The 17838-nt window shown below is 43.6% G+C and overlaps 1 protein-coding gene across 1 annotated transcript in view, besides 4 other annotated features; it reads left to right on the top strand.

The window, feature by feature from the left end:
- Positions 1–17838, top strand: part of ENDOD1 (endonuclease domain containing 1) — a 42800-nt gene that overhangs the window by 2442 nt on the left and 22520 nt on the right. The gene's annotated exons all lie outside the window — the stretch shown is intronic.
- Positions 638–932: an enhancer, noted in NCBI's record as "tiled region #7470; HepG2 Activating DNase unmatched - State 8:EnhW". NCBI's record gives its function as "activates a minimal TATA promoter and a strong SV40 promoter by Sharpr-MPRA in HepG2 cells {active_cell/tissue: HepG2}" and the evidence as "EXISTENCE:reporter gene assay evidence [ECO:0000049][PMID:27701403]".
- Positions 638–932: a silencer, noted in NCBI's record as "tiled region #7470; K562 Repressive DNase unmatched - State 8:EnhW". NCBI's record gives its function as "represses a minimal TATA promoter and a strong SV40 promoter by Sharpr-MPRA in K562 cells {active_cell/tissue: K562}" and the evidence as "EXISTENCE:reporter gene assay evidence [ECO:0000049][PMID:27701403]".
- Positions 4217–4266: an enhancer, noted in NCBI's record as "active region_5414". NCBI's record gives its function as "activates an Ori minimal core promoter by ATAC-STARR-seq in GM12878 lymphoblastoid cells {active_cell/tissue: GM12878}" and the evidence as "EXISTENCE:reporter gene assay evidence [ECO:0000049][PMID:35858748]".
- Positions 15829–17028: an enhancer, noted in NCBI's record as "CDK7 strongly-dependent group 2 enhancer chr11:94841280-94842479 (GRCh37/hg19 assembly coordinates)". NCBI's record gives its function as "activates an origin of replication core promoter dependent on BRD2, BRD4, P300/CBP, MED14 and CDK7 cofactors, with strong dependence on CDK7, by STARR-seq in HCT116 cells {active_cell/tissue: HCT116}" and the evidence as "EXISTENCE:reporter gene assay evidence [ECO:0000049][PMID:35650434]".

Raw genomic sequence — 17838 nt, forward strand, 5'->3', positions numbered from 1 at the left:
AATCATGGAAGGGAGGGATCAGGTGGGGAGGAGCCACCAAGGAAGGCTTAGGGAGGCAGAGCCATTTATGCAGCTAGGGAAGGAGTGAGTCGTAAAGGAGCATAGTTTGACAGAAAGAAGTACAGGGAACCAGGTAACATGGAGACCCTGGGTGAGATAATGAGGAAGGGGACTGTGGAGATTAAAGAAGATGGGAAGGGAGGGTGGAAATAGTTACAAATGGCAGCTTGAGAGGTAAGATGTACAGCGGTTCTGAAGAGTACAAGGGGCCTGAGTTCCTGCTGTGCTGAGAGGTCAGAATGGTCACTGTGGCTGAGCACTGCAGGATGCTTTTCCCTGCAAGGTGGCTGGCCTCCCACATCCACCCGCTCGACCTCAAGTCAAGTCAGCCAGGATCCAGAGAGTATTGGGAGAGAGGGAGGGAGGAGGAGGTGTGAGGTGCAGCTGGGCCTGGAGTGCACTGCAGCAAACCTGCCCCCACTGTTGCCTGCTCCCTGAGGCCCTGCCTCCCAGCCAAGATCCCCACTGCAGAAAGATGCTCAGGGCTCAATGTGTACCCTTGGCGGCTTCCAAGCATTTTATAATGCTGAGTCTCCTTGTACCCACATCACCTTTTTATGAGGTCAGTGTTACCAAGAGGACCCGCACACAGGGGAGGAAGAGGCAGGAGACCAAAGGAACTCAGTGCTTGCCTCCAGTGATGAGTCAGGCAGGGCAGCAGTGACACTGAATTCCCAAAGCCCAGTTCGGCAGCTTTTGAGTCCACACTGCAGTTTCCCTTTGAAAAGAATCTCCTAAGTCAAAGATCACAGAAACTTAGTCACTCTTGTGCTGAAAATCTGTAAAGTGTTGCCTGCCCAGCCCCTACAGGACAAAGTTCACACTGCAGAATGCAGTTTACAGGCTCTCCATAGCCTAGCTCCTGTCTCCAGCTCCAATCTAGTTTCTCACCATGCTCCACCCTCATATTTTATGTTCTAGCATTATCCAGCTGCCTGGAGTTCCTCTCATAAACCAGACTGTTTGTGATGTCTGTTTCTTAGCTCATGCTGATTCCCTTTGCCCAAATTCCCTTTCTACACAGACCCCATCTTATCCTTCACTTCCTGCCCTTACTCCATCCTTTAAGACTCTGCTGAGGTGTCACCTCCTCCAGAAAGAATTCCCCACCTGAACTGTATCCACCTCCCAAGTTAGGTTCACCCCTTCAGTGCTCTTATAGTTTTTCTATTTTCATACTTACCATGTTGTTTTGTAATTATCTGCTTATGTATCTGTCTCCCCAACTTGAGCCCTTGAGGAATGATGATTGCATCTTACTCATTCTTTTCCTAGTGCCCAGCTTATAGAAAGCACGCGATAAGTGTTGAATAAAATAATTTGATGTTGGGAGGATCAATCAGGCAGGAGCAGGTGAGATGTTCTGCTTCAGTTTTCTCAGTGGGGCGCTTCCTGTTTCAGAAGCTTGCACCAGGGCTGGCCAGCAGCAACTGTTACAAACATGCTCCCTATGCAGAGCTGGAACCCTGCTCTGCAGCCACTCCATCAGTCTTAGCTTTGGCCTTTGAAACTATCCCAAATGATTTTGATCTCTGCTCTGCCTACAGGAGATGGTTTGGAGGAGTTCTAGTCAAGACTCCAGAAACCTGAGAACTGGATTCTGGTTTAGTGCAGGAAGCCTCAAACCTTTTAGTTTGTTGACTCCTTTCCACTTAATGGAAGAATTTTTAGATAAGATGCCAATGATACCTTTCTAAAGTGCATTGCTGATTTATGCCAGAAGCCAACATATAAAGCTCTATCATTTTATAAACATGGAAGGAACTGAATATATAAATTATATAATTAATATATTATACATATTAATTATATAATATATAATTTATATATTCAGTAACAATAGTGTATATTTGTTCAATCTTAAAAAATACTGTGAGGTAGATATTATCTTCATTGTAGAAAGGAGGAAACTGGCTAAGGGAGGTTAACTGAGGTGTTTTAGGGTCACACAGCTTATTTTTGAACTCATTACTGATTACTCTTCTGATACACTGTGGAGATTCTTTGATCTCACAATGGATCCACTGCGCTAATGGTCTTAGGACTCTAATTTTCATCTTTTATGTGAGAATTCTAATTTCTACTCCACTTCTATTTTCTGACAGTCATAGGACAAGTGGGAGCACTTACTTGGCTGCATAAAGGTTGCTCAAGTGTCACTTTACTCTGGAATGAAGGGGATATTCTGGTTAACTGCAAAAACATTTTCCTGGAGGGCACAGTGAGGTCTTACTTCAGATCTTAGTAAATGCAAATGGTTGTTTCAAGTTAGAACCTTGATTAAGTCCTTGATTTTTAATTTCCATCCATGGCTTATACAACCTGAAACAGAAATACTGTTCAATTTGTTCCAACCTCAGCCTTCTTTTCATTGTGTCAGAGAACAGATATATAGAGCATCATACACTTAAATCTCTGTGTAAGGAATGCAGTGAACAGGACAATCCTGATTCTTACTCCTTAATTAAGAGACTTAATTCAGATCCCTGCTCTTCCATTTACAAGCTATGTGACTTCCAGCCCCATTTTTTGGATCTGTTCATTAAAGGTTGTAAAAGTGTTTATAGAGAGGTTGTGACAAATAAACAAGATAACACATGAGAGCATGTGGCATGGTACCTGGAATATGGTAAACTCTTAGTAAATATTAATATGTATATAAGGTGTTACTTCAGTAGGTGCTAGGCGTGTGCACGCACACACACACACACACACACACACACAAATGGAATGTTGGATTAGATAGGTGACATCTACAATTCTGCAAATCTCTCCTAAAAAGTAAAATATCTATCCATGTATCTTCTCAAATGCTTGGTGTATGTCCCACATTCATACAGTAGCTGCTTCATAAATGCATGATGAGAGATGAAATGTGTGGAAGATTGAATGAATGGATGGAGGGTGGATTTGAGTGATTAAAAGCAAAAACAAACCAAACAGGTACCAAAGACATCTCCACCCTCTCTGTCCTGGAAAACCAAGAAGTGTGTTGTCAGAAAACAGTGAGCAATGGCATTCCAGTCTATTGTGCTGAGACTGGATAAGACTGGGAAGTGCCTGACCCAGGGGATGGTTCCAACCTTTGTTGAATTTTTCCCTTCTGGCTTTTTCTTCATCTTTGGATTTAGTGTTTCCTTTTGTTTTGCAGGCCATTCTCAGGATCAAGTTAAGGTATTTACCTGCGTTGGCAGAATATTTCAGGGACATCTGTCCTGAAGCAGTCCAGTGGTGACAATTCCCTATACTATTCTTTCAGTTTAGACTTATATCTGGACAATCTAGGCAAGGAACTATCATTTATTGATCCCTTACCATGTCAAAGGTCTTCACATTCTAACTCATCTCATCTCTATAACAACTCTAGGTATTATGACTTGTGTTTTATAGTTTAGGAAACTGAGGTTCGGAGTAGTTAAGTAACTTATCCAAGGTCAAACAGCTTCTAGATGGCAAAACCTGGACAGGAGTTTATGACTGCCCAAATCCAAAGCTCTTAACTCTCTTTATTCTCTATCACACTATTTTCTAACTAAAATGTTAGTTTTTTCTCTCCAGAATCCAAACTGGCTGACTAGACTTGTTATTTTATTTTTAATCCAGTTCTTTGGATGGTTTATGGTTTCACTACTAACATACCATTCTGTATGTAAATGCCAGCTTCAGATTTCTTTTAGCTCCGTTACTGGTGATTCATGGTGATTGAATGGAGCTTTCCTTAGGGAATTGAGATTTTATTCTTTGGGCATAAAATTTCTCTTCCTTTTAAACTCTCATCTCTGAAAGTGAAAATTTTAGAAAGTAAATCCTCTTATTTGCCAGTAGCATTTGTTTTCAGTTATCTGGTCTATCTTCTAGAATTACTGTTAGTCAAGAAAGCTTTTTTTTTTTTTTTTTTTTTTTTTCAAATTTCCTCCTTCAAGATGCATGTTATATCTTCTGAATGGTGACTTACCCTTTCATTTTCATGAAACTTAACATCTGTCATAGTAATAATTCATTGCCTGTCGATATATCTATTTGGCCACTGAAAGGAAGGAGAAATGAAAAAGAAACTGACTCATAGGCTGAACCAAGAATAGAAGCACCGTTTAATATTCCAGTCATGCTTCATTGACCTAGTGCTGAACAGAAGTGTGGCTCAATCAAAAGGTCAAACAGAGGGTAGTTTATATTTTTAATCAAAGCTGAAAATACGGGTACATTTTACTTTGTAGAATAAACAGATGGCTGAAATATTATTTGAAAATATAAATGTAATTACATGTTTCAGTTGACTTATACTTTAAGGGCTGATTGGTCTTCAGTTTTTATTGACTTCCAGTTGGCAGGGACACCTAATGCTTTAAGAAAGCCCTGAGCCCTCTGTCAATTCATTTTAGTCAACAAATCTTTATTGAGCATCTGCTATGTGTGAGGCACTATTCTAAGTCCTGGAAAGAGAGCAGTGGTTACAGACAAAAATACCTACTCTCATAGGGTTTATATCTAATAGAGAATATAGATTATAAAATAAATAAATAAAAGACAAGGTGCCAAGCATGGTGGCTCATGCCTGTAATCCCACTACTTTGGGAGGCCAAGGCGGTCTGATCATTTGAGCCTAAGAGTTCGAGACCAGCCTGGGCAACATGGCAAAAACCCATCTCTACAAAAATTAGCGAGGAGTGCTGGCATGCACCTGTAGTCCCAACTACTCATGGAGGCTAAGGTGGGAGGATCATTTGGGCCTGGGAGGTAGAGGCTGTGGTGAGCTGAGATCATGCCACTGCACTCCAGTCTGGGGGACAGAGTAAGACCCTGTTTCAAAAAAAAAAAAAAGGCATATTAGACAGTGATAAGTGTTAAGGAGAAAAAGCAAGGAAGGAGGCTATGAGATATCAAGGAAAAGGTGAAGTTTAAAACAAGGTTTCCATCCAGGGAAGAGATCACTGAGGAGTTGACTTTTGGGTATAGACATGAAAGAAGTAAGAAAGCCAATTATGCAGGCATCTATAGAGGGGGAAAACGTTCTGGGTAAAGGGAATGGTAATTGCAAAGGCCTGGAGGCATGAGTGTGTTGAGGAAGAACTAAGAGGCTGGTTTGGCTAGAGAAGAGTAAATGAGAGTAGCAGGAGATGAGGTCAGAGAAGTGGGGAAGGAGACGGCAGATCATTTAGATTCTTCTGAGCTATTTGTAAAATATTGGGGTTTTACTGTGTGTGAAGTGGGAAGCAATTGTGCAGGGTTCTGAGCAGAGAGCTTCGATGTGATCTGGCTTACATTTAAATAGGACCATTTTGGCTGCTGCATTGAGAATAGACATGTGGTGTTAAGGGCAGAAGCAAAGAAACCAGTTAGGAGGTTTCAGTGATCTGACAAGACAGTAGTATCTTGGATCAAGATGATAGCACTGTATATTCTGGATATATTGTGAAGAAAGAGCTCATAGTCTTTGGAGTGAGAGAAAGGGAAGAGATGACTCCAAGGGTTTGGGCCTGAATAATCAGAAGAATGGAGTTGTCATGAATAAGACAAGGATACAAAAGGAGGGGCTGTTTGGGGGCCATATCAAGAACTCGCTTTTGTTCATAAGAGCAAGAATATAATACTGGTTGAGTATCCCTAATCTGAAATGCTTGGGACCAGAAGTGTTTCAGTTTGAAGATTTTTTTTTGGATTTTGGAATTAGTGGCTGAACCTCCCAAATCTGGAAATCTGAAATCTGAAATGCTTTAATGAGCATTTCCTTTGAATGTCATGTCAGTACTCAAAAAGCTTTGGATTTTGGAACATATTGGATTTTGGATTTTCAGATCTGAGATGCTCAACCTATAGTGGCTACCAGGGGCTGAGGGGTGGGGAAGATGAGGAGCTCTTGTTTAATGGGTATAAAGTTTCAGTTACATGGGATAAATCAGTTCTAGAGATCTGCTGTACAATGTAATGCCTATAGTTGATGATATTGTATTGTGCACTTCAAAATTTGTTAAGAGAGTAGATTTCATATTAAGTTTTCTTAATACGCACACAAAACAAACAAAAGGACACAAGGAAAGTATGGGAGGTGTTGGACATGTCTCCCTCCTTGGTTGTTGTGATTGTATCATGGGTATTTGCATACATCCAAACCCAGCACATTAATTATGTGATGGGTTATTACATATTTATTGCACATTTAATTCATCACATTAAATATGTACAATTCTTTGTATATCAGTTATACTTTGATACAGCTGTAGGAGGAAAAGGTACTCCGTTTTGGGCACTCTGAGTGCGAGATACCTTCAGGTATTCAATTGACCTTCAAGTAAGTACAGTCTAGAGCTCATTGGATGCTTATCATATGGCAGGAGGCACTTTTCTAGTGTTTTTTTTTTCACATGTAATTTCATGTAATCCTCAGCATCGTCAGAAATAGGTACTATTATTATCCTTCTTAGAGGAGGAAACAGGCCCAGAGAGGTTAAACTACTATTGCATTTTTACACAGCTAAGAAGAGGTGGGGCTCGGGTTTGAACCTGAGCTGTCTGACACCAGAGCACACATGGACTGCTTCTGTTGCAAACCTGTTGATGTGTTGGGTGAGCTCCTATTGAATGCTCTTGAATGAAGTTTATCTTTTAAAAGTTCACATGTTCATTTACCAGGATTTTATAGAGGGTGTGTTTCTAGCTCTGGCAGTCACACGCCCATGAATATCAGAGGCTCACCACCTCCAGGTGTACCTTTGTGGCTATAGGAAGGGTGGGGTTATTGCAAGTACTCCATTGGGCCGAGGGTGCTCTGCCCCCTTGTACAGTCTTGTTCTATACTGATCCATCTTGAGCTCTTCCTATTATCCTTATGCAAGCAGACATTTTCCATAAGGCACCAGGTTAGAGCTGGGAAAAATGGATCACCCAAAAACTGTGTTAACTCTGTTGAGCAACAGATTTTGTCCCCTGCATCTCAGTGAGTAGCGGAGATAAGAGGGTAGGGGATAGAGTCTTGCATCTCTGGGCGTATGGAGACATTGCTGCCAGACAGGCTGTTGGATTGGATGTGGTGCATGAGCCTGAGGAGAGCCCATCTCCTGTCTCAATGCCAGCTGTCCCTAGGGGTGGGAAGGAGGTGCCCAGGCCGACTACACCCTCCAGAGCTCCGCTCCTTGAGCAGAGGTGGCAGACCCACACATCCATCATCCAGCCCTAGTCTGTTCAGGAGCTCCTTCTCTGCAGCCAGCTTGGCTCCCAGGAAGGAAGACCAGCAGAACACTTAAACTTAATAACCCAGTAATGCAGTAAGTCCTACTTTGGGACAAGAGGAGGGACTTTGCTCTAACTCAGAACGTATACCTCCTTGAACGTGCCAAAATTCCTTTTTCCTTTATGACTGTTTAGTAAGTTAAAGTCCTTCATCTTTGCAGGTTCTTGCATTTGTCCCTATACCGACTTTATCACAGCTTGGTAAATGTGCCTTCCCTCTATGTTTGTGAGATGGCAGCACTGGTTTCAGGAAATCTGCTTGCTGTTATCTTAGTGTTTATAACTAAGGGATCCAAGTCAACTTTGTTGATTAAATGGACCAGGATGCATGGTTAAATAGGAACCCCATAATGAAATATCTACGGTTGATGTTTCTGAAAGATTGGGCATCCACTATGTTCTCGGGACACGCAGAAACACAGGGAAAAGAAAGCCAAGTTTGTGAACCATAAAAAACTTTTATTCTCATTCTTGGATATCTCCATTGTATCTAGAGCCATAGTATCCATCATAGAACCAGATATAACTCCTTCATAGACATGAGGTGTTTGGGGTGGTTGATGACCTTACTTTCTGCTCCTTAGTGGACAGACTTCCCTCCTATACGAGTCCTGCACAGACTTATCTGAACTCTAGGGCCCAAGTTCCCATCATCTATCTAAGTCTCTGCAAGACAGCTTCCTGACTGGTTAACCCATTCCATCTGGTTCTCCTCTATCCTTTCTCTACTCTGAAGGCCTCTTTGGAAACCCTTCAGGACTCCCCAGTGCTCTTCAGATAAGGACACAGCTCCTTATCGTGCTCTACACAGCTCCTTATCCTGCATAATCTGTGTCCCTTCCCTTTCCAGCCTTATCTGGTTTCACTCAACTTGCAGGTCTTTAACTCTGGCCACTTTGGCTTCTTTCTGGTTTTTATTATTATTATTTTTTGAGACAGGGTCTTGCTCTATTGCCCAGGCTTGGGTGCAGTGGTGCGATCTCAGCTCACTGCAGCCTCTGCCTCCTGGGCTCAAGCGATCCTCCCACCTCAGCATCCTGAGTAGACCACAGGCATGTGCCACCACGTCTGGCTAATTTTATGTATTTTTTTTTTTGCTTTTTGTAGAGATGGGGTTTTGCCATGTTGCCCAGGCTGGTCTCAAATTTCTGAGTTCAAGTGATCCTCCTGTATCGGCCTTCCAAAGTGCTGGATTACAGGTGTGAGCCACCATGCCCAGCCTACTTTTTTTTTTTTTCTTTTTAAAATGTCCATGTTCTCTCCTATCATAGATCTTTGTACCTGCTGGGTGTTTTTTTTTTTTTTTTTTTTTGCCTTCCGTGATATTCCCAAGTAGGTCAACTGCCCATGATACTCTCTAGTAGCACCAAACACACCTTTCTTTGCTAATAAGTTGCAATTATACATTCATTTGTGTGACTAATTGAGTGGCACCCAACTAGATTCTAAGTTCCCTGAAGGCAGGGGCCAGGACTATTGGTGCTCACCATTGAGTCCTGGTTGTCTAACACAAAGACAGCAAACTTGTTCTGTGAAGGGCTAAATAGTAAATATTTCGGGCTTTGTGGGCCATATTGTCTCTGTTGCTACTATTCAACTATGCTATTTTAGTACAGAACAGCCACAGACAATACATAAATGAATGAGTATGGCTATGTTCCAAGAAAACTTAATTTATGAAAACAGGTGGTGGGCTGGATTTGGCTCATGAGCTAGAGTTTGCCAAACCCTGGTGTAGCGTAATTCCAGCACTTAGTTTGTGATCAAAAAAATGTTGTTGAACAGTGAGCACTTGGCAAATATGGATTGAGCAGTGGCAGTAAAATGTGCGAACTGTGCAATCCTGTTCTTATTATGGCACAGCAGCCTAGATGTACACGTACAGACAGTTTTCAACTAATCTTTTTATTGTCTCGGTGGTAGTGGTTGTTATTTACAATACTTAGTTTTTTAAGATTATAAAAATAACATATGCTTATGGTGAAAATTTTTTTTTAGCATTTCAGAACTGTATAAAGAAAAGCTCCCACTTCTGAAAGATACTCAGTCTTTACAATTTGTGTGTATTTATGTAACATTCTAGAAATTTCCATAACACCTAGAGACACACGGACTATTTCATAACTTTTATTCTAGTTCCCAAGGTTCAGCATTTCTTTGAACTCTATGAGGCCACATCTAATAAGCCCCTCAAACAACCACCATACCAATGGAGAAGAGTGTAGGGACCCCTTTAGTAGGTGAGTTTGCACATAAATGTGAACAATTTATTTTATTAAGCATTTTAACTTAGAAATAGAAGACCTCAGGACTTCAAATATAAAGTCTACCTCATATTTTCCTTTTTAATTTTTCTTTAATTTTTTTTCTTCCACAGACATTTTCAGTTGTCCAGCTACATTGCATATTTCTTTCAAGAATATATAACTCACAGGTGGCTTGAAAAAATCTGACCTTCCTTCTCCTTCCCTGTTCCTGCACAGAAGGGCATTATCCTTTTCCTCTTAAAGGAGAGGAGGCAGAGGCCCAGGGAGTCACTGGTCTGCCCGAAGTCACAAGGCCAGTAAGCAGCAGAGCTGACAGATCTCCACATTTCTAATCTGGTGTTCTGTTACTAAAGCCTACTGCCATTTGGCCTCACATTTAGAGGGCCTTGAAGAAGAGCTACCTTCTTAAAGCCCAGGAGAAAACCCAGGAGAAAAAAAGGGAAATTATTTTGCCTAAGGGTAAATTTTATTAACCTCAAATTATATTTATTACATATCATCGTGAAGCAGATGGCTCTTTCCTGCTTAAAAAAAAAAAAAAAAAAGGTGGGCAGGCATGGTGGCTCATGCCTGTAATCCCAGCACTTTGGGAGGCCGAGGCAGGTGGATCACCTGATGTCAAGAATTCGAGACCAGCCTGGCCAACATGGTGAAACCCTGTCTCTACTAAAATTACAAAAATTAGCTGGGCGTGGTGGCACATGCCTGTAATCCCAGCTACTTGGGAGGCTGAGGTAGGAGAATCCCTTGAGCCTGGGAGACAGAGGTTGCAGTGAGCTGAGATCGCACCACTGCACTCCAGCCTGGCTGACAGAGCAAGACTCTGTCTCAAAAACAAAAACAAACAAACAAACAAAGAAGTGCTAAGCTTAAATAACTTGAGGAGGATTTAGGTTGGATACAAAAATGAGAGTTATTATGTTACGGAAAAGAGTTAAGGGCTGTTAAGTCCCCTTCTCTAATGCTCTTTAAGATCTTTAAAATGAAGGGTGAATTTTGCCAGTTGGCTTTGGAGAAAGGCTATTTATTATGGTTATAATCTTGTATAGAGACAGGCTGTGGACTTTCCCAGTTTTCAGATGAGAGCGACTCATAATTGAGTTGACAGTGATGTCTCTCAGACTCCAATTCCATGCCCAGGTAGCTTATTGGCCAGGCTTGTTACTGCTGTTGCTTTCACTGCTGTCAATATTGGGTACCATTCTATTTTTCAATTTCTCCCACAGTTAAAGAGGAAGCTAAGGAACTAGGCAGAGTGGGTGTGTGTGTGTGTGTGTGTGTGTGTGTGTGTGTGTGTTTCCTCTCAGTGAGTCTAACCATTCATTTCTACAATAAATGTGGTCACAACCAATCAAAGACAAGAGTTTATCATGACTTTGTTCCCTTCTCTACCAGTGAATTGGGGTTTAAGAAGTAGGCATGGAATTACAAGGAGCTTCAGTAACGGAAACAAACTCACCTTGTTTATTTGTTTGCTTGGTTATCTTTTTATTTATTTATTCATTCCTGGTCAGCAGCTCTAGACTCATAGTGTTGCAAAGGATTAGTCCTCAGACATCCAGCTGCTACTGATTTCATCAGTGTTGTCATTTTCATCAGCATGAAAACCGTTTATTGAGATCTTAGGACTAAATCAAGAAATAGGAATCCAAGATGTCGTCCTGGAACAAGACACAGTCCCTGCCCTTGGGTGTCTTATTACTTAATCGGAAAGGCAGATCATGACCAAGAACTGGTTTACTTAACTCTCTCTCACTAGATTGTTAGCCGCTAAGGGGCAAGGATTAAACATGCAGAGTGGTTAAGAAAATGGGTTTTGTAGTGGGAGTCCCACCTCTGCCATTTATCAGCTGTGTGACCTTGGAAATGCTACCAAATCTCTTAGAGCTCAGTTCCCCATCTGTGGCATGGGACTAATAAATTGTCCCTCTCCTACAGAGGAGTTAAGATTCAGGGAGACAATGTGTGCAAAAAGCAGTTTGCATTGTGCCTAAACACTCGGCGCATATATGTTAAGCATGTTGAATGAATAAGTAGCCTTTGCTTCCCAGACCGTGTCTGCCTTGTGGACAGCTAGGATGAGTGTAATGCTCCTGTGTCTGTGGGGTGTTATTGCTGCAGTGCCCTTCGTTTCACACCTGCTCTGTCACCACCTTGCTCGTGACTGCCCACAGCTTTTAGTCTGGATTCAGTGGCTCTGTGCTATCCTCTGTTATTGTTACCCCTCTTCTCTTTAGAATAATTTGGTAGAAATTTCTTCTCTTTGTCCCCTGGGTTGCCCCCTCTGATCTGCTCCCAGACTTACGGGATCAAGACAACTTGTCCCAGGTGGGTGCAGTGCCTCACACATGTAATCCCAGGACTTTGAAAGACCAAGGCTGGTGGATTGCTTGAATCCAGGAGTTTCAGACCAGCCTGGATGTGGGGAAACCCCGTCTCTACTAAAAATAGAAAACATTAGCTGGGCATGGTGGCACATGCCTGTAATCCCAGCTCCTCGGGAGGCTGAGTGGGAGGATCACCTGATCCTGGGAGGTCGAGGCTGCAGTGAGCTGAGGTCGCATCACTGCACTCCAGCCTGGGCAACTGGAGTGAGACCCTGTCTTAAAAAAAAAAAAAAAAAAAGAAAGAAGGACAACTTATCTCATCATCTTCATTTGTTCCCCAGTTTTAATCCTGGAGTTTAGAAGGTTCCATTGCTTGCAAGATTCATATCCCTATTCCCTCAAAGGCCTTACTGGGTTCTCATAAGGATGGTATTTCTGATATTTCAAATTCATTGATGCATGAATCATAAAACTTATCCAAGCTTACTCAAGGGAAGGGCAGGGCTGTTGAAAGATATCACAGGTAGATTCACAGGCACGGGAAAAGAGATACACACTGAGCTCAAAGGAACCAGACTTGGGAACCTTCTAGAAACCAAAGGGTCCCACAGAGTCTTCAGGGTCTTTTTCCTACCCTGTCTGTATCTTCTCTCTTTTAAACAGTTTGGCTTTCCCATGGCTCAGCCTGGCTGCCAACCCCAAAGTGCATCTAGGAGCCTTCACACCCTTCACTGGCTGTTGTCAGTCACTACGTTTCTTACACTGAAAACCCAAGAGAGCCATATGGTTGGTTGCTGGCCAGATTGGGTGGCCCTTGGTTGTGACTGGCATGGAGGTGGGTGGGAGAGGGTCATGTGTAAGAAATGCTACTCTATCAGAGACAGTGTTAGAAATACTTGGTTGTGGATATATCTCCCAGGACCGGGTGAGTTGAGCCTTGGAAAAGATTTCACTGGGGCCGTATCAGTCAGGGGCCTGGCTGGAAACAGATGGCACTCTCAAAATAGTCTAACCAACAGGGTTTAATGAGGAAACTACAGTTGTTTCTTGGTATCCATGAGGGATTGGTTCCAGGACTCCCTGTGGATACCAAAATCCTTCATGCTCAAGTCCCTTATGTAAAATGGCATAGTATTTGCCATAACTTAGGCACATCTACTTGTATACTTGAAATCATCTGTAGATTACTTATAATACCTGGTACAATGTAAATGCTGTGTATATAGTTGTAATACTGTCTTGTTTTATTTTTTTGAATTATTCTATTTTTTTTAAGTTCCGGGGTGCATGTGCAGGATGTGTGTTTGTTACATAGGTAAATGTGTGCCATGTGGTTTGCGGTGCCTAACAGCCCATCACCTAGGTATTAAGTCTCACATGCATTAGCTTGTTTCCTTAATGTTCTCCCCTCAGCCCACCCTTCCCCAGTGAGTATTTTTCCCCTCCCTGTGTCCATGTGTTCTCATTGTTCAGCTCCTACTTATAAGTGAGAACATGCGGTGTTTGGTTTTCTGTTCCTGCGTTAGTTTGCTGAAGATAATGGCTCCTAGCTTCATCCATGTCCCTGCAAAGGACAAGATCTCATTCCTTTTTAATTTGCATTATTTTTATTGTTGTATTATTAAATTTTTTCCCTGAATATTTTTGATCCACAGTTGTGGAATCCATGGATGCAGAAGGCACAAGAATTAAGAGAGCCAACCAGTTATGGGGATGCACCTAGGGACTAGCAACAGCAGGAAGCTGTGACCATCCTAGGCCTGTGGGGTAAGGGTAGGAGCCTGGTGAGAGCCGTGTCTGTACAAAAATTCAGCCAGAGCCAGAGCCACAGCAGCCAGGCAGGGAAGCAAGGGAATGAATGTATGATCTGGTCCCTCTCTCTTCCCGCCTTCCCATTGATGGCTCCAGTCAGAAGCCAGAGGGCAACGGGGCTCAGCTGATGTGATTCCTACAAGTCAGCCTCCCATAAAAGTCAGCCTCCCATCTAAATCAATCAGCCTCCCCAGATGCAGAGTAGGGCAGAGAAGAGGGGAGATGGATCTGGAAGACAAAGGATGGACACCCAGCACAGGAGCTGTGAGGTCAGAGCTGAGGCTTGGCACCCAGATAGGATTTAGGTAGCATAGAGGAATGGTGAAAGCATCCCCAGCTGGTAGTGACAGGGGCAGTTGTAGAGAGAAGTGGGGCGCATTTACATTACAGCCATGTAACTGACATGGATGAGTGGGGGGATTGACCTATTCTGGTTGAATATAAAGGAAGGTTTGAGAGAAGAAGTTGGAGAAATTTGGCGGGGAGGCCTATGAATATGCCAGTTTGTCATTTAATCAGGAAGTAATAGGATGTTATTGAAGGTGTTAGAGTAGTGAAATGTTCAAAGGAATATGCATAGCAAAAGTAGACTTCTCACTCCACCTAGGACTGAGGAAGGAAGTCCTTGCTTACACATGTTACATGATCAGAATATTAGCTGATCTAATAGGTGGAGGATCCAAAGGACCCACAGTATTTTGTTCTCTACCTTGGCATTATGACAGCTCTTGCGATTTGTGGATAATTCCTCTCTCAATATCACGGGAATAAATTAAGCTTAGCCAGGGCACTCCCCAAAATGATTTAAACATTTGTTTTTCAGCGTGAGGTTCATAGACACCCCCCCCTTTCCCCCGTCAGCATCACCTGGGATGGTGGTGAAAATGCATATGGAGGTCCCACCCCAGACATACTGAATAGAATGTATCTCTGTGGTGAAGAACAGGAGTCTGCATTTTTGACAGCCACTGCAGGAAATTAGTGATGTCTCCTTAATTCAGTTGAATTTGAGAACTATTGATTTAAGGAGACATCACTAATTTCCTGCAGTGGCTGTCAAGGTAGGGGCTTAATTCCTTCAGAGAGTGATCAATGAGAACCTGATGGAGATCTAGCCCCATGGTTCCTATTACAATCGTATTAGAATCACCTGGGGAAATTTAAAAACACCCTGATGCTGGGGTTGGGTGGAGGGGAACTTTTTTTTTACTGGTTTAAGAAGTCTGGGTTGTAGTCCCAGCTACTCGGGAGGCTGAGGCAGGAGAATGGCGTGAACCTAGGAGGCGGAGCTTGCAGTGAGCAGAGATCGGGACACTACCCTCCAGCCTGGGCGAGAGAGCGAGACTCAGTCTCAAAAAGAAAAAAAAAAAAAAAGGTCTGGGTGAGGCCTGAGGATATTTTTAAAGCTCCCAGGTGATTCTGATGTGCAGCCAGGCCTAAGAACCTTTGATCTTGTCTGAACTCAGAAGGTGGAAAAAATTAGAAATGGAGCCTTCTCAATGTAAGGGACTCCTCTGAATTCTGTACCACACAGTCAATGCTAAGAATAATTGCTCTGGAAAGGATAGCAGAGTGGAAAACAGGCTTCTGTGAGTAACGTGGAAGGAAACCAAAGAAGACCAGGGCTGATGTAACCTGAGAAGGTACTGCAGTCTGGAAAGGTCTTAAAGGAGTCCGCACACTTTTTTTTGTTTGTTTGAGACGGAGTCTTGCTCTGTCACCCAGGCTGGAGTGCAGTGGCGCGATCTCGGCTCACTGCAACTTCTGCCTCCCGGGTTCAAGCGATTCTCCTGCCTCAGCCACCCGAGTAGCTGGGATTACAGGCGCGCGCCACTCCGCCCGGCTAATTTTTTTGTATTTTTCATAGAGACGGGGTTTAGTAGAGACCGTGTTAGCCAGGATGATCTCGATCTCCTGACCTCGTGATCCGCCCGCCTTGGCTTCACAAAGTTCTGGGATTACAGGCGTGAGCCACCGCGCCCGGCCGGAGTCCGCACATTTTCTTAGGCTCCCTGGAGGAGCTTGAAACTCCTCGCTGTGTGTGATGAGCAGCCAGAGGTGTCCCCGGGAGAGTCTGTTTGCCCCCAGGCCACCCATTGGCCTTCACACAGGGCTTTCTTGCCTGCATTTATTGCCAGTTTGGAGTTGGTGAATTTAAAGAATTCCTCCTTTTATTTTTATTTTTTCAACTAATCAAGAAAAAGGGAAGTCTGAAATGCAAGTAGAACACCCACCCTTTCGAACGTTTTATCTTCCGTTCCACCGTCTTCTGACTCGGGAGAGAGCTCTTTAGCCATTTGTCTTTGTTTTCCCACAGTTTGCCAACACCTACGGGTGTGCACAGCACAGGCCAGAGCTGGAAATGCGTCCTTCTTCCCACAGCCAGGAAGGTGTGTGAGTGGTGCTGGGAGCCCAGAGGAAGGGTGATTCACTGGAGGAAGGCGGAGAGGACAAGGACATGCTCTGCTAAAAGGCCTTTCAGGAAATGAAAAGCTCTGCATTTCTCTTTTCTAAACACACACACACACACACACACACACACACACAGACACCCAAAAAAAGAAAAAAGAAAAATGAGCATTCCCCTAATTCTTCTAAAGCGGTTTCTATTCCCAAGAGGATAAAGAGTATTTTAGATGCCAAGCACGGAAGATTTTTTTTTCCTGAAATGGGTGGGTTGGCACTTTCTTTCCTGAGAGCTGAAAAGGCCTCATGCTTTATTCCTCCTCAAATGTCCTTAATCTGCTGTGGCCCCACCATCCTCCCCCTCCATTGTTGAAAGGCAGCAGCTCCTTCCCTCGCTGGGTATTTCCCATGGTAAGTAGGTTCTCCTAGGACTCACCCGAGCCTCAGATTGAGTTCATCCTACTGTGTGTGACTGTGCAGAGGACCTTTAGGCCCCTGTAGGCAGCTCTGATAAGATTATCTGATGTTCTCATTATCAGCTGCACCCACGATCTTTTCTAAGGAGGGGCTCTTTGACCCACCTGATGATGGCAGCAGGGGTGTTGGCATTCCTTTTACATCCCAGTGTGTGTGGGTGTGTGCCTATATTGTAGTTCACACAGCAGAAATAAAATGGGAACACCCACTGTTCAGCTCATTCTATTATTTTAACTCTTGTTGAAAAATAAAACAAACCCCTAAGGAAATAGCGTCTTTGTCCCCACGGAGTTGGATAGCTCCCTAGGTCATCTCCTGACCACAGGATCTTGTCGGAATCATCCCCTACATGTGCTTATCTAGCCTCAGCTTAAAATTCTCCAGGGGAAGGAAACTCCACCCTCCATGAGTCAGAGTCATTGAGAGTTTAATAACCACTTTGATGGTCTGTTGTCAGGACCACCTTTTCCTTGCAGCAGATCAAGGAGCAGAATTAGAGGAGAGCCAGTTCTCTCTGGAGACTCATCTGCAAATTGGAGGAAATCTTATGTGCATCAGAAGATTGTTGTGGAGCTCAAATGAGATCATTCTTTCAACAAATGCCAGTCACTCCCTGGTGTGCAGGACCATCATGCTAGGTCTGGGAACACAGAGATAATTGGGCACTGGCCCTGGCCCTTCAATTCAGTGGTTCAGACTGATGGATAAACATACCGTCTCAGTGCAGTGGCAGACTCCTCTGCTTTGTCTTTGGAGGTCAGCCTGCCAAACTCGGCTGCCCACTTGTGTCCCACACTCTGAGGCGCTGTCTCCACTCACACCAGTTGCCCATCAGCAGCAGGGCCACACCTGGCCTGCTACCTGCTGCCATGCTGCTCCTTCGAGAATCCACCCTTCTCCTCCCCATCACCACTGAGCCTGTCTTGCTCTTTACCTGCACCTGCACTGCTCAGTCTCTTCACATCAGCGGTGCCATTAGCACCTGCAACCTTGGGCCCATGCCCACCTGGATTTGGAGGTCAGGTACTTCAATCTGTTTGCAGGGACAAGGCTGCCAGGGTTCATATCCACCACACCTAGGCCAGTTCTTTTTCTGTTCTTGTCTCTGGACTGCAGATCATTGCTGGGGGTGTAAGTACAAAAACTCAAACCTTGGCCTCAGCAGAGCTGCCCTGCCCCACTTGTCCTGGCTGACATCCATGGGGCCTTTCTTTTCAGTGGTCTTTTTCCCTCTTCTGTAAATTCCCTGGCATGGTGGCCTT

This window comes from Homo sapiens, chromosome 11 (genome assembly GCF_000001405.40).
Source record: "Homo sapiens chromosome 11, GRCh38.p14 Primary Assembly".
Taxonomy (NCBI): domain Eukaryota; kingdom Metazoa; phylum Chordata; class Mammalia; order Primates; family Hominidae; genus Homo; species Homo sapiens.